Source organism: Homo sapiens, chromosome 16, assembly GCF_000001405.40.
Source record: "Homo sapiens chromosome 16, GRCh38.p14 Primary Assembly".
Classification (NCBI taxonomy): domain Eukaryota; kingdom Metazoa; phylum Chordata; class Mammalia; order Primates; family Hominidae; genus Homo; species Homo sapiens.
In genome coordinates this window covers 7,653,119-7,670,448 of record NC_000016.10, presented here as the reverse complement: position 1 = coordinate 7,670,448, position 17,330 = coordinate 7,653,119, and the positions used below count along the sequence as shown (strand labels likewise).

General features: G+C 42.9%; 1 protein-coding gene across 52 annotated transcripts in view, besides 1 other annotated feature; it reads right to left on the bottom strand.

Moving 5' to 3' along the window:
* The window catches only part of RBFOX1 (RNA binding fox-1 homolog 1), a 2,473,620-nt gene that overhangs the window by 42,892 nt on the left and 2,413,398 nt on the right, over positions 1 to 17,330 (bottom strand). For 38 of the 52 annotated variants that reach the window (NM_001415887.1, NM_001415888.1, NM_001364800.2 and 35 more), the window contains 2 exons: positions 16,502 to 16,634; positions 5,481 to 5,520 (listed from right to left, as the gene is read on the bottom strand). In NM_001415887.1, the coding sequence (NP_001402816.1) occupies positions 5,481 to 5,520; positions 16,502 to 16,634 (173 nt within the window). The remainder of the gene's footprint in view (positions 1 to 5,480; positions 5,521 to 16,501; positions 16,635 to 17,330) is intronic. The other 14 variants (XM_017023318.3, XM_024450303.2, XM_017023320.3 and 11 more) reach the window with 1 other exon arrangement.
* Positions 16,509 to 17,115: an enhancer, noted in NCBI's record as "H3K27ac-H3K4me1 hESC enhancer chr16:7703336-7703942 (GRCh37/hg19 assembly coordinates)". NCBI's record gives its function as "activates a minimal SCP1, AML or CMV promoter by ChIP-STARR-seq in primed H9 embryonic stem cells {active_cell/tissue: H9 hESC(primed)}" and the evidence as "EXISTENCE:reporter gene assay evidence [ECO:0000049][PMID:30033119]".

Here is a 17,330-nt window from a genome sequence, read left to right as displayed (position 1 = left end):
TGGGCTCAGGGCTTCAGCATTAAACTCAGTAGTCAAATCATGTGGGCTCAAGGCCCAGTGTCTGAAGATTTTTGGACAAATTATTTTCTTTTTTTCTGGAAAAAAAAGTTTCCTGTTGGCCACACGTGGTGGCTGACACCTGTAATCCTAGCACTTTGGGAGGCCAAGGCAGCTGGATCACTTGAGGTCGGAAGTTCGAGACCAGCCTGGCCAACATGGTGAAACCCCGTCTCTACTAAGGATCCAAAAATTAGCCAGGCGTCGTGGTGCATGCATGTAGTCTCAGCTATCTGGGAGGCTAAGGCAGGAGAATTGCTTGAACCTGGGAGGCAGAGGTTGCAGTGAGCTGAGATCATGCCACTGCACTCCACCCTGGGTGATACAGGGAGGCTATGTCTCCCAAAAAAGTTTCTCTTCTGGAACAACAGAAAAATAGAGGTAAGATTCCTTGTTTCAAGGGCTGTGGTGAGGAGAGATGACGTAATACAGGTAAAACACTCAACATCTTGTCTCTCCCATTGCAAACACAGCATTCGCCTGATTTCTTGGTGGACTGAGGTCTCCACTATGGTGACTGCGGACGGCAAGTCAAATGCCAATCCTCAGCCACCTCACACTGAAAGCAAGGTCTCAGGAAGAAAGACTAGGAGTTTTTATTTAAAGAATTCCTACTTTCCAGCTTTACATGTTCCCAAAGCTACTGACACATCTCATTCCTGAGTTTAAACATCAGTGAAATGAGGATACCTCTTTGTTTTAAAACATATGGGTGGCAGAGTGACAGGAATTCAGAAATAATTGTGTTTAGCCATGGTGTTAACCAGAAACTTGTTATACAGAATTTAGGAATGGTATAAAAATGCACTGGAATCTCAAGACATATTTGCTAGGCGGCCCTCATGGTTGCGTCTAATGTTAGGACGCTTAGGATGTTCTTAATAAAAAGGAACAAGGTTAACATTTATACTCTATATCCTCTCACTCTTTCTCTCTGCTCTTACCATTGTCACACCTCACTATGTTATTCCAGTTTCTATCCGTTTGTCAATTCTTTTTAACAGTTCATTATAATTTCTTTCTCTCCCTCTTTTCATTTGTAATATTAATAGTTATCTTTTGATCAAATGCTATACTTTTTGGTCTCTTTCTGAGAAGGTCAACCAACAGATGTCTTGGTTCAGTTAAGCAATGCTTGTTTTCCACTCCTTGGTCAACTTCTAGCCTCATAAAACCTATAGCTTCAGGGGTCAGTCATGGTGGGTCACACCTGTAATCCCAGCACTTTGGGAGGCCAAGGCAGGTGGATCTCTTGAAGTCAGGAGTTTGAGACCAGCCTGGCCAACATGGCGAAACCCCATCTCTACTAAAATACATGGATTAGCTGGGCATGGTGGCGAGTGCCTGTAATCCCAGTTACTCAGGAGGCTGAGGTTGAAGAGTCCCTTGAACCCTGGAAGCGGAGGTTGCAAGTGAGCTGAGATCGTGCTACTGTGCTCCAGCCTGGGCGACAGAGCGAGATTCCACCTCAAAAAACATCTATAGCTTCACTTCCAAGTATGAGAGACTCTGTAGATCTAAGAACCTTAGTCCTTGCATTGCAACTCTGTTTGTATAAACTCTACCATTTAGTTTGCTTAACTTGATCCACTTTTTAATTAAAATGAATGTATTTAAAGGTGCACCACTAAGCAATAATAGTGAACATATCAAAAGATTTGATATGTTTCATTATGAAAATTAAATTCCTATCTATCTTTTTATACAAAAGTGTGTGTGTGTGTGTGTGTTCTGTTCTGTTCTCAGGTAGAAGGGACTCAGATAAAGATCATTCCTACCCTCCATTCTCAGACAACCCCCGCATCACCTCCGATGAGTAGCCAACCACACTGTGCCTGCACCTCTCCACTGTGGCTAGAGGCAGTGGGTTTCCTGCAGGGCTCAGCTCCTGAATAGGATTGAAGGCTTTGTCTTTGCTCTCTGCCCAAATGAGCTGTCCTGGTTTTTTCCCTTCGTGTCTGGCTCACAGCATTTCATAACAAGTCTACTCCCTTTGGCAATTTCAAGATATCTGTGATCATCTGTCCCTCTCTGTTCAATCCTCTTTCCTCTGAAAACTTTCAGAAGGAGGTCATTTGAGAGAAGAGGTTGTGGCTTGCCAGTTACAGGGATCACGCAGGTCTTTCAATGACTATGTGCTTTGGCAGAACTAAAAAATGCCCGAGGGCTCCAACCTCAGGTGGTAGGCATGGAAAGACCTTGAAGAACAAAGGACGGGGGAGGGGAGAGAGCAGGGCACCTAGAAAAGCCCAGTAGTTCTGAGATGCAAGCTGTTGAGTTGTTGACCTGCTCTGATATACTGCCAGGATGGAGAACATTTTGAGCAGGAAGAATCTGACAGTATCCTCCTTTGTCTTCCTTAGCAGTGACCGAAGCTAGAAACTGACTACCCAATAAACTTAAAAAGAAGAGGTTTATGGCTTGGTGCAGTGGCTCACGTCTGTAATCGTAGCACTTTGGGAGACCGAGGCGGATGGATCACTTGAGGTCAGGAGTTCCAGACCACCCTGGCCAACATGGTGAAATCCTGTCTTTACTAAAAATACAAAAATTAGCCAGGGGTGGTGGTAGGCGCCTGTAATCCCAGCTACTCAGGAAGCTGAGGCAGGAGAATTGCTTCCAGGGGGCAGAGGTTGCAGACAGATGACATTGCACCGCACTCCAGCCTGGGCGACACAGTGAGTCTGTCTCAAAAAATATAATAATAACAAAAAGAGGTTTAAATCTATTCGAGGTATCTGATGTGTCTAACATATATCCCGGGGCCGCTGACAATTGCCCTAAACCTATTTATTGTGTACTACTTTTAACGAGCTTGAAGGAGTAAGCCAAAATCTTTCTTTAAAGTAGAAGCTCACATGACTTTCTAAGAGTCTGTTTAACCATCATCTCTTTTAAAAACGAAGCTTGGGGATATTTCCACTCATCAGAACATGCTGGTATCTCAAGGGAGGTAGGGTAGTGGCTTTAAAAAGCACATTCAAGATTATGATATATTTCTAGCTAGGATGAATCTTGTTCTGTATATTCTGTGGTGCAGAACATATTTATATTTCTTAAACTTATGGTCATCAAAGACCTCTTGTTCTGCTGCTGAGCTGGGCAGTGGCACAGGCTAGTTTCCTGCTGTCCAGTATACACACGGATGCACACCAGCAGCAATATGTTAAAGTCATCATCAGACAAAGCAAAATATTCAGGAAGGTCTACCAGATTCCAGAGACTGTTAGAGACAGGACAGAAACATGTGCTGGGTAATCAAATCTCTAAATTCATATTGCAGGAACTTTTTCTGCCACCTGATTGCATATGTGATGCTCCCCCACTGAAAAATCTTATTGTCATTATAATATAAAGAGTGGGGAAAACGATAATTTCTGGCTGGGGGTCGTGGCCTGAAAAGTCAGAGAAAGGGCAGTTTTATGAACAAACATATCAGACAACTTAGGACTGGAAGAAACTCTGTCCTTGAAGCTCACCCTGATGCTTCCCGAGCTGCACCGCTGCACCCAGTGGGCTTGGCCCAAACATGATGAATGTGTGAGAGACAAAATCTCCTAAAGGAACTAGAAAAGCACAAAGGGACACTTCTGTGGCTTTCTTCCCTGAATAAATTTTCTTTTTCCTCTCTAGTCAAGTGGTTGGCATATTTCCTTCTTCTAACTTTGTTTTTTCTCTATTTGCATTGCTCTGTGGATTCTCTGATGCAGCGATATGCCCCAATCGATACAGACACACACTCGCACTCACTTAAATGAGTCCCTTCTTTTTCCTTATTTGTGGGAGCTCCACAGACCCTGCCTTCAGGCAGCCTCTCCTTCCTGCTACTCAAGAATCTGAGGCCAAGAAGACACCAATTTGATATCTGCATAAGACACCACACATTAATGATTCAATAAATTATTGTCAGTTTGAAGAAACTGAGGCGTGAAGAGGTGGACACTCACTAAATGATTGTGAAATACTTTTAACTAAACTCAGGAAAATCTGCATTTTTTTTTTCTTGGGTAGGTGTTGCTGGAGATAGTTTCCATTTTGGTGGATTTTTTAAAAAACCATTTCTCTATCCCTTGTCTATTCCCTTTCATTTCTAAAGCCCTAAATTCTGCGATGCCAACTACCATTCTGGCTCCTCCCATCTGCAATAATCTACCCATGGGCTGCATGGAGTCGAGAGCCAGGACTGGTGATTGGGTTTAGCAGGTGCCTGAGGAAATGAATGGGCTTCAGACTGCTCAGCCCCAGCCTGCCTCATAATTTAAAATCTGAAAGTCTGAAAAAAGAGGACATGAGACAGAAAAGCTTAAGTTCCACAAAAAAGAAGAAAATTGATCACTGAGTGAATTAGGACATATGGGTTGTTCACTCATTTTATTACGGGGGAAAAAATACTAACCCACAGATTATAGTAAGTATACTTGATGCAATAGTAGAACTCAACTAAGTCTATTATTGATGGAGATACATACTATATCTCAAAATTGTAATGATTTGAAATTCAAAAGGAATACAATAATCAGTGCCTTATTCATCTTCTAGTACATGATACCAATTTCATCAGAAATATGATTTTTTTGCTATCTAGTCTGTAAAACAAATATAATCCCATTGACTGAGGTCTTTTGTAATAAAAATTGTGATTTAGGGAATATCTCCCAACACTGCCTACTTATTCAAAATTGTGTTTACTCCAAGTCATTTTCATATCGTCAATGCTCATATCATAATGTCGGAGAATAACTACCTCTAGATGAACATAGTTAAATTCTTGTTCTCATAATGAGAAATAGCCTACTCTTTTCTAAAAATAAACTTAAAGTGTTACTATTTAGCAAGCAATTTTAAGTCAGGTAATTGGGGGAAATGGAATAAAAGGTTAAAGAAAATGGGGGCTCAATGTTCAATTTGACATACATATTAAGAGAATCAGGAGATGTTTAGGGCTAAACTTGTCCATGTCTAGAGAGAGAAAGAGTGTTCCTAAGGCTACTGTGATATTTTAGGGAAAACATCAAAAATAGCAGCCATGAAAATATCTTTTAACCCTCTGCAGCTGGTGACTACAGCTGTTATCCTAAATATTATACTGAAAACGAAGAACATATCGAGAACTTGAGAGACAATTTCTTTGTGGGTGAAGTGGGGTCTTTAGTTGGCATGAAAGAAATGCCACCTTTTTGGGGGAATTGCATTCGTTCTGAAGTTGATCGAGGGGTTAATTCCACCCCACTAAACAGCCAGTGATGTCTGCCACAAGTTCAAGAGCAGAAGGCTTTCTGTCCTGCAAGACAAACCACGGAATTATTTCCTACAGACCAAGGAGAGAAACTCAACTACGCCAAGTAGAGAAATTCACAGCAAACTTGTAAAAAGAATGACTCCAGGAGGAAACGGGGATGGCATGCACGTGAATGAATACTTACATAAATGTCTGCACCATAAAATCCATCCTGGTAAACAACACTGCAAGGGTGCACACACAAAGAGAAACATCCATATTAGTGCATTTCCCATGCAGACACACCAACCCCTGCACTGGCGAGGTTAGTCTGGTCACAAGATCCAAAACACAGGAACCGAGGATCGTTTTCACATTGGATTAAGGAGGTTGGAGACAACGGCAGTTGAGCAAACCGAGAAAATTAGGCCGGGCTTTGGTGTTGGCCCAGAATTAGGATGTGGTGGTGGCGGTGTGCTAGGTCCCAAACTTCCCACTCTCTCAGGAGTGGGTACAGAAAGGCACGACTTTGAAATGCAAAGAGGACTGAGATTTAAGTGGCCCAGACAGACATGAGCATCTTAACAGGTCAGAGTTGGCAATCAAACCACATAGCCCCCTACCCCACAGAATAAAAACCCAAAACATCTATTTAAAAATCGGATTGTAAAGGTCGACACACAGATTGCAGCATTCTCAGTATGGGCTAGAGCTGAATGGCCTTAGGTGAGGTGGACAACACATATGGTTTCAAAAATTTTCTTCTATATTCTTTCACATTGTATTATATTTGGTAATTGCACGTGCATTATTTTATGGTTAATGGAGAATATCTCTAATAGTATGTGGGTGAGCATGGGTACATGTGCAAGAATGTGTTTTCTGTGCAGACATGTCTTCATGTGTACAAGTGCATTGTGTGCATATTTGTGTGTGTTAATATGGACAAGTGCAGGAATGCATGTATTTGTCTATAGTGTATACACGTATGTAAACATGTATATATGCATGTGTATACTTATTTATATGTATTTGTGTACTTATATGTACAAGGGTGTATACATGTGAATATCTGCATGTTCACGTAAATTATATCTAGACTAAACAAAGACCCACACCTTGATTGAACAAGCCCAATCTGATAGCAGCTCTCTGATTGCCACCCATGTAGTGACCATCCCAGAAAGAAGAGACTTCAGAGGGCTGGGGACAGGGGTTAGGGAATGATTCCCCAGAAGCTTTTTGGTATGCTTTGAGTAAAACAACCAGGAAAAGAAGCTCTTAGCTACGTGGTCGTGAGAAACTGATTTGTATTTCCTAAGCATGAAAACGAGTTTAACGAGAATCATATGTAGCCTTCACAGGTTTTTGTAAGGATCACAAGGCATCTTGCATATGAAGCTGTTTCTAAATGCCTATTTTTAAAAGGATCATAGTTATTTACAATCTTCCCCGATACCTTCCCATGATGTTTCTAGATGACTTATGATTCTGGCAAAGGACCAATGAGCCCCACCATTGAATGAAGCTGAGGTTCTAATAGAAACACAACTTTAATACCAAAGGATTCCAGCAGGTTTCTGTAGCAGAATGAACCCACATGTAAGCAAAGCATATTGAGCCAAGGGAAGGCATTTTACAACACACACACACACACACACACACACACGCTGTACTGACACACACACGCAGCTGTGACACTGGTTTGCTGGAGAACACTCTAGTGTGCTGCTTAGAGTATTTCAGAGTTGATTGACTAAACTCCAAGTACCATTGTCCTTAAAAATGTGGCAGGGATTTCACACACTAAGGAGGTTGGTAGGAATAGCTTTCAGCTGTTGTTCATATTTGATCCGGGAGGGCTACAGTTCACAAGAGCGCTTGTGAAGTGGCATAAAGCCCTAATCCAAGATGCTGAGGTGTGCATCGTCCTGAGCTATGCTTTGAATTCTTTTTCAACTTTTCCAACATAGAGAATGTCGGTTGGGGGGTCAGAAGGCAGAGCCACCCTCTGCCAAGGTCTGATGAAAGAGAGGGAGCAACAGATATTTAGTTTGGGTCCCAAACCACAGGACTGATCACTTAGCCATATCAAAACCGCTCCATCCCATTCTTTCATGCTGCCATGCCCTTGCACGTGCAATGCCTTGTGCTGGCAATGCCCTTTATTCTAGTATCCTCATCCAAAAGCAGTGACATGACCATTCAAGAGCCAAGTTAGATGGGAAGCACATGGGCATTTGAATCAGACTGCAGCATCCTCAATCAACAGTGCAGTGCCTTTGCACATATTACTTGAGACATCTGAACCTCACTTACTCATCTGTTAAAAAGGGAAAATAGGTAAGTGCCTACCTCAAGAAAGGGTTTCGTAAGATAATGCTTGCAAAGGGATGGGTGGCATCATGCTTAACACTGTAGCTCTAACGAGGTCACCATGTTTGAGACCCGGTGCCCACCTGCAGCTGGGTGACTTTTCCCATTATGAACACCAGCATCATTTTTCAGACTCTTATCAGAGCCACTCGTCAATTTCTGCCTCACATTAAAGGTCTGTGTGCATGTGACTCGTTGCACCTTAAAAGCTACACCCTGTGGCTTAACTAACATTCTATTCTCAGTTCCTGACACACTGCTTGTTACCTAGAAGATGGACAATAACTGGGTGAATAGGGTTCATATTTTAGAGGGAAGGGTGGGCATGAGAAGGCGTCAGAAGGAGATTGAGTCATTGCTTTACCAACTCCAGGTAGAATTCAATAATGGGTCGGGAGGAGTCTGAGGTTTGTCTCTGATTTGGCTATTCAGTATCAGTGGCTGTTGTCAATGGAGGAGAAATACGATTAACAGACTCGAACCTGAATTAGGAGACCAGGGCAAGAGACTAGACAGCAGTCTAGAAGTAAACAATGTATTTTTCATGAGATATGAAACATACTTTTAAATATGGGAAATAATGACTTCTAAAGATCTCAATGGTGGAACCTCATCTGTCTCTGATCTTCTGTAAATGACGGAGAGAAGAATTGATCCCAGGCCTTGGAGGCTGTTCCAACGGGGCACATGGCATGGGTGTGGGCCAAGAGTTGGGGTTCTTTGATATGGCTGAGGCTGAGCTCTGGCCAAGAAACTGATCCCTTCTTTCATTAAGACAAGTTGTTATGCACCATGGCCAGTTTTGTGCCTCCATGTCAAGCCTATTTGTACCAACATTGCCCAGAGGTGAGGAAAGAACATGCCGGGATGTTTGCTCTTAGGAGTCTCTGCTCAGTAGGGTAACCTGATTGCCATGCTTTGTCCTCCACTGTGGGCTATGGAAAGTTACTTGGGTGTTGCTGACATCCTACATTGATGAAACACTGAACCAAAGAAGAACTAGTGTAGCTTTCTCATTGTGAAAAGCTCAAACAAGCCAAATACATACTATTTCTCTGTGACTGAAAGCTTTCCTGTACCCCAACTACTATGCGAAGGCATGAAGACCGAAGAAGAAAGCCCCCTCAGTAACCCTGCCCTCCCAGAGTGTACAGGAAGTGGGACACACAGTCACAAATTATGCATAAAACTGTAGAATCACAGCTGAGATAGATACTGCAGGAGACAGCAACAGAGGTGCCCTGAATGTGGAACGGAAGGAGGCAGGGCCAGCAGCAGAGACGAGAGAGGCTAAGCAAATGGCACAGAAACCTCAAAGCCTTGGCTCGGTAGAGAGGAGTGAAGTGCTGTCAAGGCAAAGGGTGGTGGGGTGAGGGTACTGCAAGGCAAGACCTATGGCTGGAAGACCCACGCTCTGGCTTCTTGGAGGGCTGGGGGGAAACGTATAAGCATTAGGGTCTAAATATGGTGGCTTCACAGCAAAAAGATGATTGTAGCTGCCATTATAAACCCCATCATGAAGGGATTACTTGTTTTCAAAGTGCACATGTATTGGAGAGAAATGGAAAGGACGAGTGATCTATCTTTAGGATAACTCTAAAAAATGTGGAAGCAATGTAGCCATCCTCACCGGCAGTGTGAAATAAAGCCATGTAATGGGAAGCCAATTTTACCAAAACATTGTTTTTCTCCCTAATAGTAACAGCACGAGCACCATTACTCCCACTACTCACATTTGCAGAACACTTACCATGGATCAGTCCCTAGTCTAGCCTTTCTGTGCTCATGATCCCACTCAGTCCTTAGAATACCCCCATGAGATGGACAATATGATCATTGCCTCTTTAGACATGTAGAAACTGAAAGAGAGTTGGGTATTGTCTGAACTGGGATTTGAGCCCAGGGGGTCCGGCTCCACAGTGCAAACTCTTAAGTACTATGGCAGGCAGTGGTGGTCAAACTTGAATGTGTAGCAGAATCACCTGGAGGACTTTTGAAACACAGATGGCTGGGCCCCATGCCCAGCCAACAGGTTCTGATTGAATAGATCCGGATGACAGCATCTAAGAGCTTACATTTCTAACAAGTTAACAGATGATGCGGATGCTATTGGTCCCAGGAATATGAGAATCATAGCTCTATGCAACACCATCCTCCAAGTGTTATTTTACTTTACATTTGAGACAAAACTGAAGGTCAGCCTCCTAGGTTATATTCTAATGGAGGAGCTGGTTACGGGAAAGTTCTCATCACAAAGCCTCATGCTAGTTTCCAAAAATGTATCCAAATAATTTGTAAAGCCTCATCAAACAGCTGCACTTAAAATATAAGATATGCAGGGAAAGAGGCACAGGGATCCATGTCTGCGGTGCAGCTATAGATAAATTAACCACGGAACAGTTAGGAGAGAAGGGAGTTACCATTGCGCACTAAACAGGCGCAGTCATATTTCAATGCAGAGATGGTCCGTCTAGCCATGCAAAGGTACTTGTATTGTTTGTCAATCACATCGGGACTCAATGTGCTTTTGCAAGGACATAATGCAAATGCACATCTTATTTTCTTAGAAAAGTAATACCAGTAGTTAAATATTTGAATGAATGCGAGCAGGGAGTGACTGCACTACAGAAAATTAGTTTACTTTAAAAAAAAAGTATAAAATGCCCAAACTATACAATCTGCTCGTGTAATATGATATATACCAGCCACAAGTATATTCTTATAGAAAAGGCTGTTTACAATTGTTCTACCCTGAGGCCCCTTCCAACTAGAAAATAAACTTTTTAAGGTGTTCAAATACCGCTATTTTTTAATGGATATTGGGGGGATCAGAAACTAGCTGGCATGTGTATAGAATTTGGGTGTGTGTGTGTGCTGTTTGTACGTATTTTCCTAGAGAATTTTTAATCAGATTATTAAAGGCATCTGTGAAAATGTCTTTTCACATTCTCCCCTCCAAAAAAAGGCTTTAAAGACCACTTATTCATCATGTTTGTCTATAAGTTCATGCTATTCAGAGGCTGTTTGGATTACATTTTAAAACTAGCAAATAAGAAGTCACACTTTATAAAAAGAATTCTGCAAAGGCAGCTTGTCCAAACCGCAGCCCATATGCTGCATGTGGCCCAGGACAACTTTGAATGCAGCCCCAACACAAATCCATTAACTTTCTTAAAACATTATGAGATTCTTTTTTTTCTTTTTTCTTTTTTTGCTCATCAGCTGTAGTTAGTGTATGTGTACTTTATGTGTGGTCCAAGTCAATTCTTTCAGTGTGTCCCAGGGAAACCAAAAGATTGGACGCCCCTGTGTCTAAAGTATTCTGAGAATGGGTAATGATGACTTTTGTTCCTAGTATTTATACTAAATACAGTTCCTAAGCATCAGATACTACAGGTTGCGGATTTAGATATTTAGAAGATAAAACCAGAAAGCATGGCTGATCTGTACACAGAAAGATATGCCCATAGTCCCAGAGACTGTTGTTGGAGACTTTTTTAGGACTTAACGTGAAAACATTTCCAAAGGATCTATTTGTTCTTCCACTGACCAGCTTTAAGTTTTCTCCTGGGATACTGCTCTATCTTTCCTATACCCCAAATAATATAGAGTCTTCTCAAATACTTCTCAAGGTAACTCTGGGAAGTTTACACAGATGTATGACAATTACCTGAGAAAGGGCAGAAAATCTTACTCAGAGATACCTAGAGAACAAGACCAAAAGCCTACAGCTGACACTAGATGCTTAGGCTTAGAATAATAATAAAAACATGGCCAGGGGGCGGTGGCACATGCCTGTAATCCCAGCACTTTGGGAGGCTGAGGTGGGCAGATCACTTGAGGTCAGGAGTTTGAGAGCAGCCTGGCCAATATGGTGAAACCCTGTCTCTACTAAAAATACAAAATTAGCTGGGTGTGGTGGCATGTGCCTATAATCCCAGCTACCTGGGAAGCTGAAGACAGGAGAATTGCTTGAACCCAGGAGGAGGAGGTTGCAGTGAGCAGAGATTGTACCACTGCATTTCAGCCTGGGTGACAGAGCAAGACTCCATCTCAAAAATAACTCATGTGATGCTCCATTAGAGCACCCCATTGTACTCACATGAAATATGCACGGTACCTAATAGGTACTCATCGAGTTCCTCTTTGAGGGAGGGGATTGGGATTTAGCTGCTGTTTTCTAACATCAAAGATACTAAGTCTACAGGGTTTGTCTCCAAAGCCTCCACTTGCTGTCTTGATGCACAGATAATCAGCTTGTGAGCTCCCTGAACAGCAATTACCTGATGGGTAATTCCTCCCAAATGTGAGTCATAGGAAGCTAGACTGGGCATTGTGGCTTCTCAGTCAAATTGAGTCCAGGATCAAATGCAAGGAGAAATAAGGAAAACTCTACTCTGCTCTGTGACTGTTCCCTACTCAATATTGTATTTTCAATCTACATATTCCATAAGCAATGCAAGTGCCTCAACCATTTCTGTGGCTTGAAGGAAATGGAGGTCTGTGAAACTGCAAGTGCCCCCTAGCAAAGATAAATAATGCATAGAGGGAGAGACATGGGATCTTCTTTTGTACTCAACCACAAGCAAAAGGGGGATGTTGAGAAAGAAGACTGTGGGTGGTTAATAAAGTCGCTAAGTTCATCAACCTGGAGAACAGTAGGTACAGTTCACTGAATGCATGTCATAAGATGGACCAAGTTGTCACCTTACATGGATTTCCCTGCTTCACCCTCTATCGACTCTATGGGGGCAGATATATCCCCCACTCTCGCTTAAGCAAACTGTGTCTATAGACGTTAAGTAAGCTATCCAAGCCAGTATGGGTAGAATATTGGGGCCCAGTCTTATTTACCTTAAATCCAGTGTCTTCCTAGGACTATAAAATTCCATAGGCTATGTAGACATTACTTTCTAACTCTTCAGTCTCATTCAATTGATGTTGGCAATCAATTGGGAGTTGGTTGGTTTGGTACAGGGTTTTCCACTTGTACCTATGATCCCACCATGGTCCACAACTTTCCCTACCCCTGGAGGAATGATCATGTGTTAATGTCCCAAGAGGTTTCTATTTAGGCATGTGAGACAAAAAAGGGCCTCTTCATAACCGATGTTCTTCAGCTGCATGGAAGGGCTTCAGAAAATATCAAGACATGGAAGGAAAAGGCAAATCAATAAAAGGAAATTGATGAATGTCTGTGCGCAGTGGCCCACGCCTATAATCCCAGCACTTTGGGAGGCCCAGATGGGCGGATCACCTGAGGTCAGGAGTTCAAGACCAGCCTGGCCAAAATGGTGAAACCCCATCTCTATTAAAAATGCAAAAATTAGCCAGGTGTGGTGGCGGGCACCTGTAATCCCAGCTACTTAGGAGGCTGAGGTGGGAGAATCACTTGAACCCAGGAGGTGGAGGTTGCAGTGAGTCGAGATCGTGCCATTGCACTCAAGCCTGGGTGACAGAGTAAGACTCCGTCTCAAAAAAAATTTTTTTTAAAAGGAAATGGATGAATGTAGGGCATCCTTAGGGACTCTACTGGTGTGACTATCTTTATGTTGGATATCTCCAAGGGTTACCCAAGCTTCCATAAAGGTAGCCATGGAGATCCTAAAGGATATTTTCTTCAATCTCCCAGGAGGAAGAAAATGTGGAAGCCATGCATGGACCTAGGACACCTTTTTGACTGGTATTTTAGTAACAATATAGATTCATATTGGATACTTCAGGAAGAACAGATTTAGGTTGGCAGATATGCCTTCAATTGGTGACAGTGGAAACAAATTCTTAAATGTAGTTTGTTAGGTGACATCTTAGAAAAGATGGAGATTGCTGGGGGTGTGGGTGGAGGAGGGGTCACAGGATAAGATTTCACTGTGGCAATTTAGGAAATGTTTGGACTTATATATACCCCATATTTCTTCTCTTCTGGGATGCCTTCTGTAAACACCCAAGCTGGGCTAAGGACCTTTCCCTAGTGTTCACACAATATCCTCTTGTATCACTTATCACATTTATTGAAATTGTTGGCTTGTATGTCACCCCCTGCCCCAACCAGAAGAAATACCTCTCAAGGTGCCATTTGTCTCTTCAGCACACAACAGTGCCTAAAACACAATAGGTGTGAGTCATAGGGTGAGCTGCACTGGGCTGGGGTAAAGACGTCAGTCAAATCTTAGTTTTCCTCCAAAGGAATTTAGAGATAAAAGGCTACAGGAAATCTGCTCTCTGGACCACCTGAATCCTGATGATGTTACTTTCTGAAAACAAGTATTTCTAACCTCTATGCTACTTGCTTTCCCTGAACACAACATAGGGGTTCTTGCTCTCCCTGAACACAAGATAGGGGTTCTTGCTCTTCCAGCCAGCTCCTGCCCTGGGTCCCACTCTGCTCTCTTCCTTTCCAAGAGGAGCCATCCCCTTGCCATCTCCTGCAACCTAATCTGTTTATTCCAGAGGAAAAGGAAACCTCTAAGATGGTGGCCTCAAAGTTTTTCATTCCGTGCCAATTCATTCCCAGGAGTCTGTAATCCAGTGAAACACCCAGGCAACAAGACGAATTTCCTTCTTTTTGACCAGTACCTTGCTCTAATAGGTTATTGCAGACATGAATGCTTGCAATCTTAGTCCTGCTGGGGCTCCTGCTTCTCTGCTGAGAATTTGATCTTGCTTCCAAGTATGGCTTTAGAATGCCAGCCATACTATTATCAGCAAGGAGGTACAATCCACCACTATAACCAAACTGATCACAGATATTGCTGGAATATTAAAATTAATTTTCATCCCAAGTAGTTACAAACACATTGTTTCATCATTTGGAAATGCCTGTGTCTCTCCCTGGTGAAACATGGCATTAATTAGTTATGCATGGTTATTCCCAGCAAAGAGCATGTTCATTATAAGTTAGCTAATTTAATTTTGATTTTACAGCAGGTGTGTCATTCTGAGATGTTTATAAATTGGTCATGTGAGGATAAACCATATAATTTTCCTCTATTGTTTCTTTTGCTCTTCAATATAGTAGTGAGATACTGATGGTAGATATACTAAAACCCTTCAACTCCCATGTACTGAGAACAATTTTCAAACGAATGTGGTATAAGTGCAATTTTGGATTTATAGCATACAAATCTTGCTTTAGTAATTACATGAGCCCAAAGGTAACTTGGGATTTTCTTTTTCCTTCATAACTCATTACATGATCTTGGGAATAACAAATCTTTATTTTTACATTTCTGGATCCATAAAATGGGCTCATTGCTGTGATACCAGAGATAAAAATTATACTATCGACAACTCCTTATATTGCATGGTCACATAAAAGGCTTAAGACATACAAATACATTTGACAGGCATTAGGGAGAATTTATAGCCAGTTCATTCTTGGTTTGTTACTATCCACCGTCTTTTCAGTTAAAATATGTGTATGCATAGAGAGAGCTCTTGTTTTGTCCAAGAAGCTCAAAGTTGACCCAATTCAAATGACTACACAAGAAATTTGATGGACTTTGTCTTACTACTTTTCCTTAACTTTCCCTTCTCTGATGGTTTTACCTACTCTCATTTCTTTTTACCATTAACTTTATTGCATTTATTTTTGAAACAAACATTTCAAATGCTCTGGTTTAGAATGAATATGTAATGAAAAAAAGTGTTTCTTTTTGTCATGAGTATAATAGATGATCTAGGCTAATGTAGATTTTCTGAAAGATTTACAAGCAACAGAGCTATGAAAAGGGCATTTAACCCTTTTCACACAGTCTTAAATGCAGCCATATTTTCTTCTACACACCAGAAAGCCAGTCACTGGCCAGGGAAGCCTAGTGCCAGGCTTTCTGGGGATCGCTGAATTTAACATAGAGCAGGGTTTCTCAGCTGCAGCATGACTGACTTTGAGTCTGATAATTCTTTCTTGTTGGGGGCTGTCAAACAACATCCCTAGACTCTACCCAATAGAGGACATAGCATCTCTCCATTCCTGTTGTGACAACCAAAAATGTCTCTAGACCTTGCAAATGTCCCCTGGTCTAGGGCCACTGCCTTGGAGGTATCCCTTTCTCCCTGGCTGCAGAGGTGCAAGAATATTCTAGCAGGAGCCTTAAAAGAGGGACAGACTAGCATTTCAAGACTGCCACCAAACACACCAGTATCATTTTTTTTTTTCTTTTACTGAGCATTCACACCATTCCTTGACATTCGCCTGGCAATATCAAAGTCTGTGCAGAGAAGGACCAAATTGGCAATGGGAAACAAACTAATCTGCATTGTTCCCACAGAGGAGAAAGGAAGGCAAATGCCATTTTGGAAAACGCAACTGCAACGCATCTTAACTCCAATTTCATTAATTCTTGTATGTTTGCATGTGACTCAACACCTAATTTTCTCTTTGCAGGCAAAGGTTCGTGACCCTTGAAGCCAAGATATCCCTGGGGAGGCGAGCAAGACGACCCCAGTGATTTTTATGTATGAAAACCTCACTTCTTTCTGTGGAGGAATTCAAGGGGCAAATGTGGTCCAACCTCCTTAATAACCAGATGTTTGCAATCATCAGAAATACATCTTTGGCTGTAACCATTTCTCTGTTCTCCAGCATTCAGTCTCAAAGAGAATTTACATAACAACATGTGACATGTAGAATGCTTAAAGGCACCAACCATGACAGGACAAATTACACTCATTTTTCAATACTCTTAGCAAGGTGCTCCACTGCAGGTGCGCGGCCGGGCTGCATGCTGGGGGCGGTTCTGGGGGTGGCGGAGGGGGAGTCAAGACCATCATGCGCTCGCAAACAGCTCCGTGCCTCTGGGGAGGGAGGGCTGGTGCAGGGAGGCCCACCCAGGAGGCTGCCCCACTTACCCGCCGTAGGCCGGGATCGGGGGCGGGGGCGCCGCGGCCCTGAAGGTGTTGTACACGGTGCGACCGCGGCCTCGCAGGTGCGCCCCTCGGTAGGCGGCCGCGGCGGTGGCTGCTGGATACGGGAAGCCTGGCACTGCGGGGCAAGAGGAGAGAGAGAGAGAGAGCACAGGCTGTCAGATGCACACCCTGCTGTGGAGGGAACTGCCCCGGGAACCCTTGTCCCTGCACAGGGTCCCAGCAGGACCCCCGCCCGCTTCCCGGAATCAAGAGGTTAAAAAGCAGAGAGCAGCACGGTGGCCAGGGTGGGACTCCAGAGAGGATGAGTAGTTAACACAGTGGGCCCTTTGCCCAGGAGAATGTGGTGACTGACAAACATTTGCAAATAATTCTATATAACGGGAGAAAAGCTCACTGCATGAGTATTTAATTAATGAGTTTATTTGAGACAGGGACTGGCTCTGTCACCCAGGCTGGAGTGCAGTGGTGCAATCACGGCTCACTGCACCCTCGACTTCCAGGGCTCAAGTGATCCTCCTACCTCAGCCTCCCAAGTAGCTGGGACCATAGATAGAAGTGTGCTACCACACCTGGCTAATTTTTTCATGTTTTGTAGAGATGGGGATCTCCCTTTGTTGCCCCGGCTGGTCTTGAAGTCCTGGGTTCAAGCAGTCCTCCTGTCTCCACCTCCCAAAGTGCTGAGATTACAGTTATGGACCAACCACGCCCAACCCACAAACATATTTTTAAAAGGGCAGATTGCAAGATGTGTCATGTCTTATCAATCATATACCTATGTATATATGTACAGGTGTATTTGCATGCAAAATAC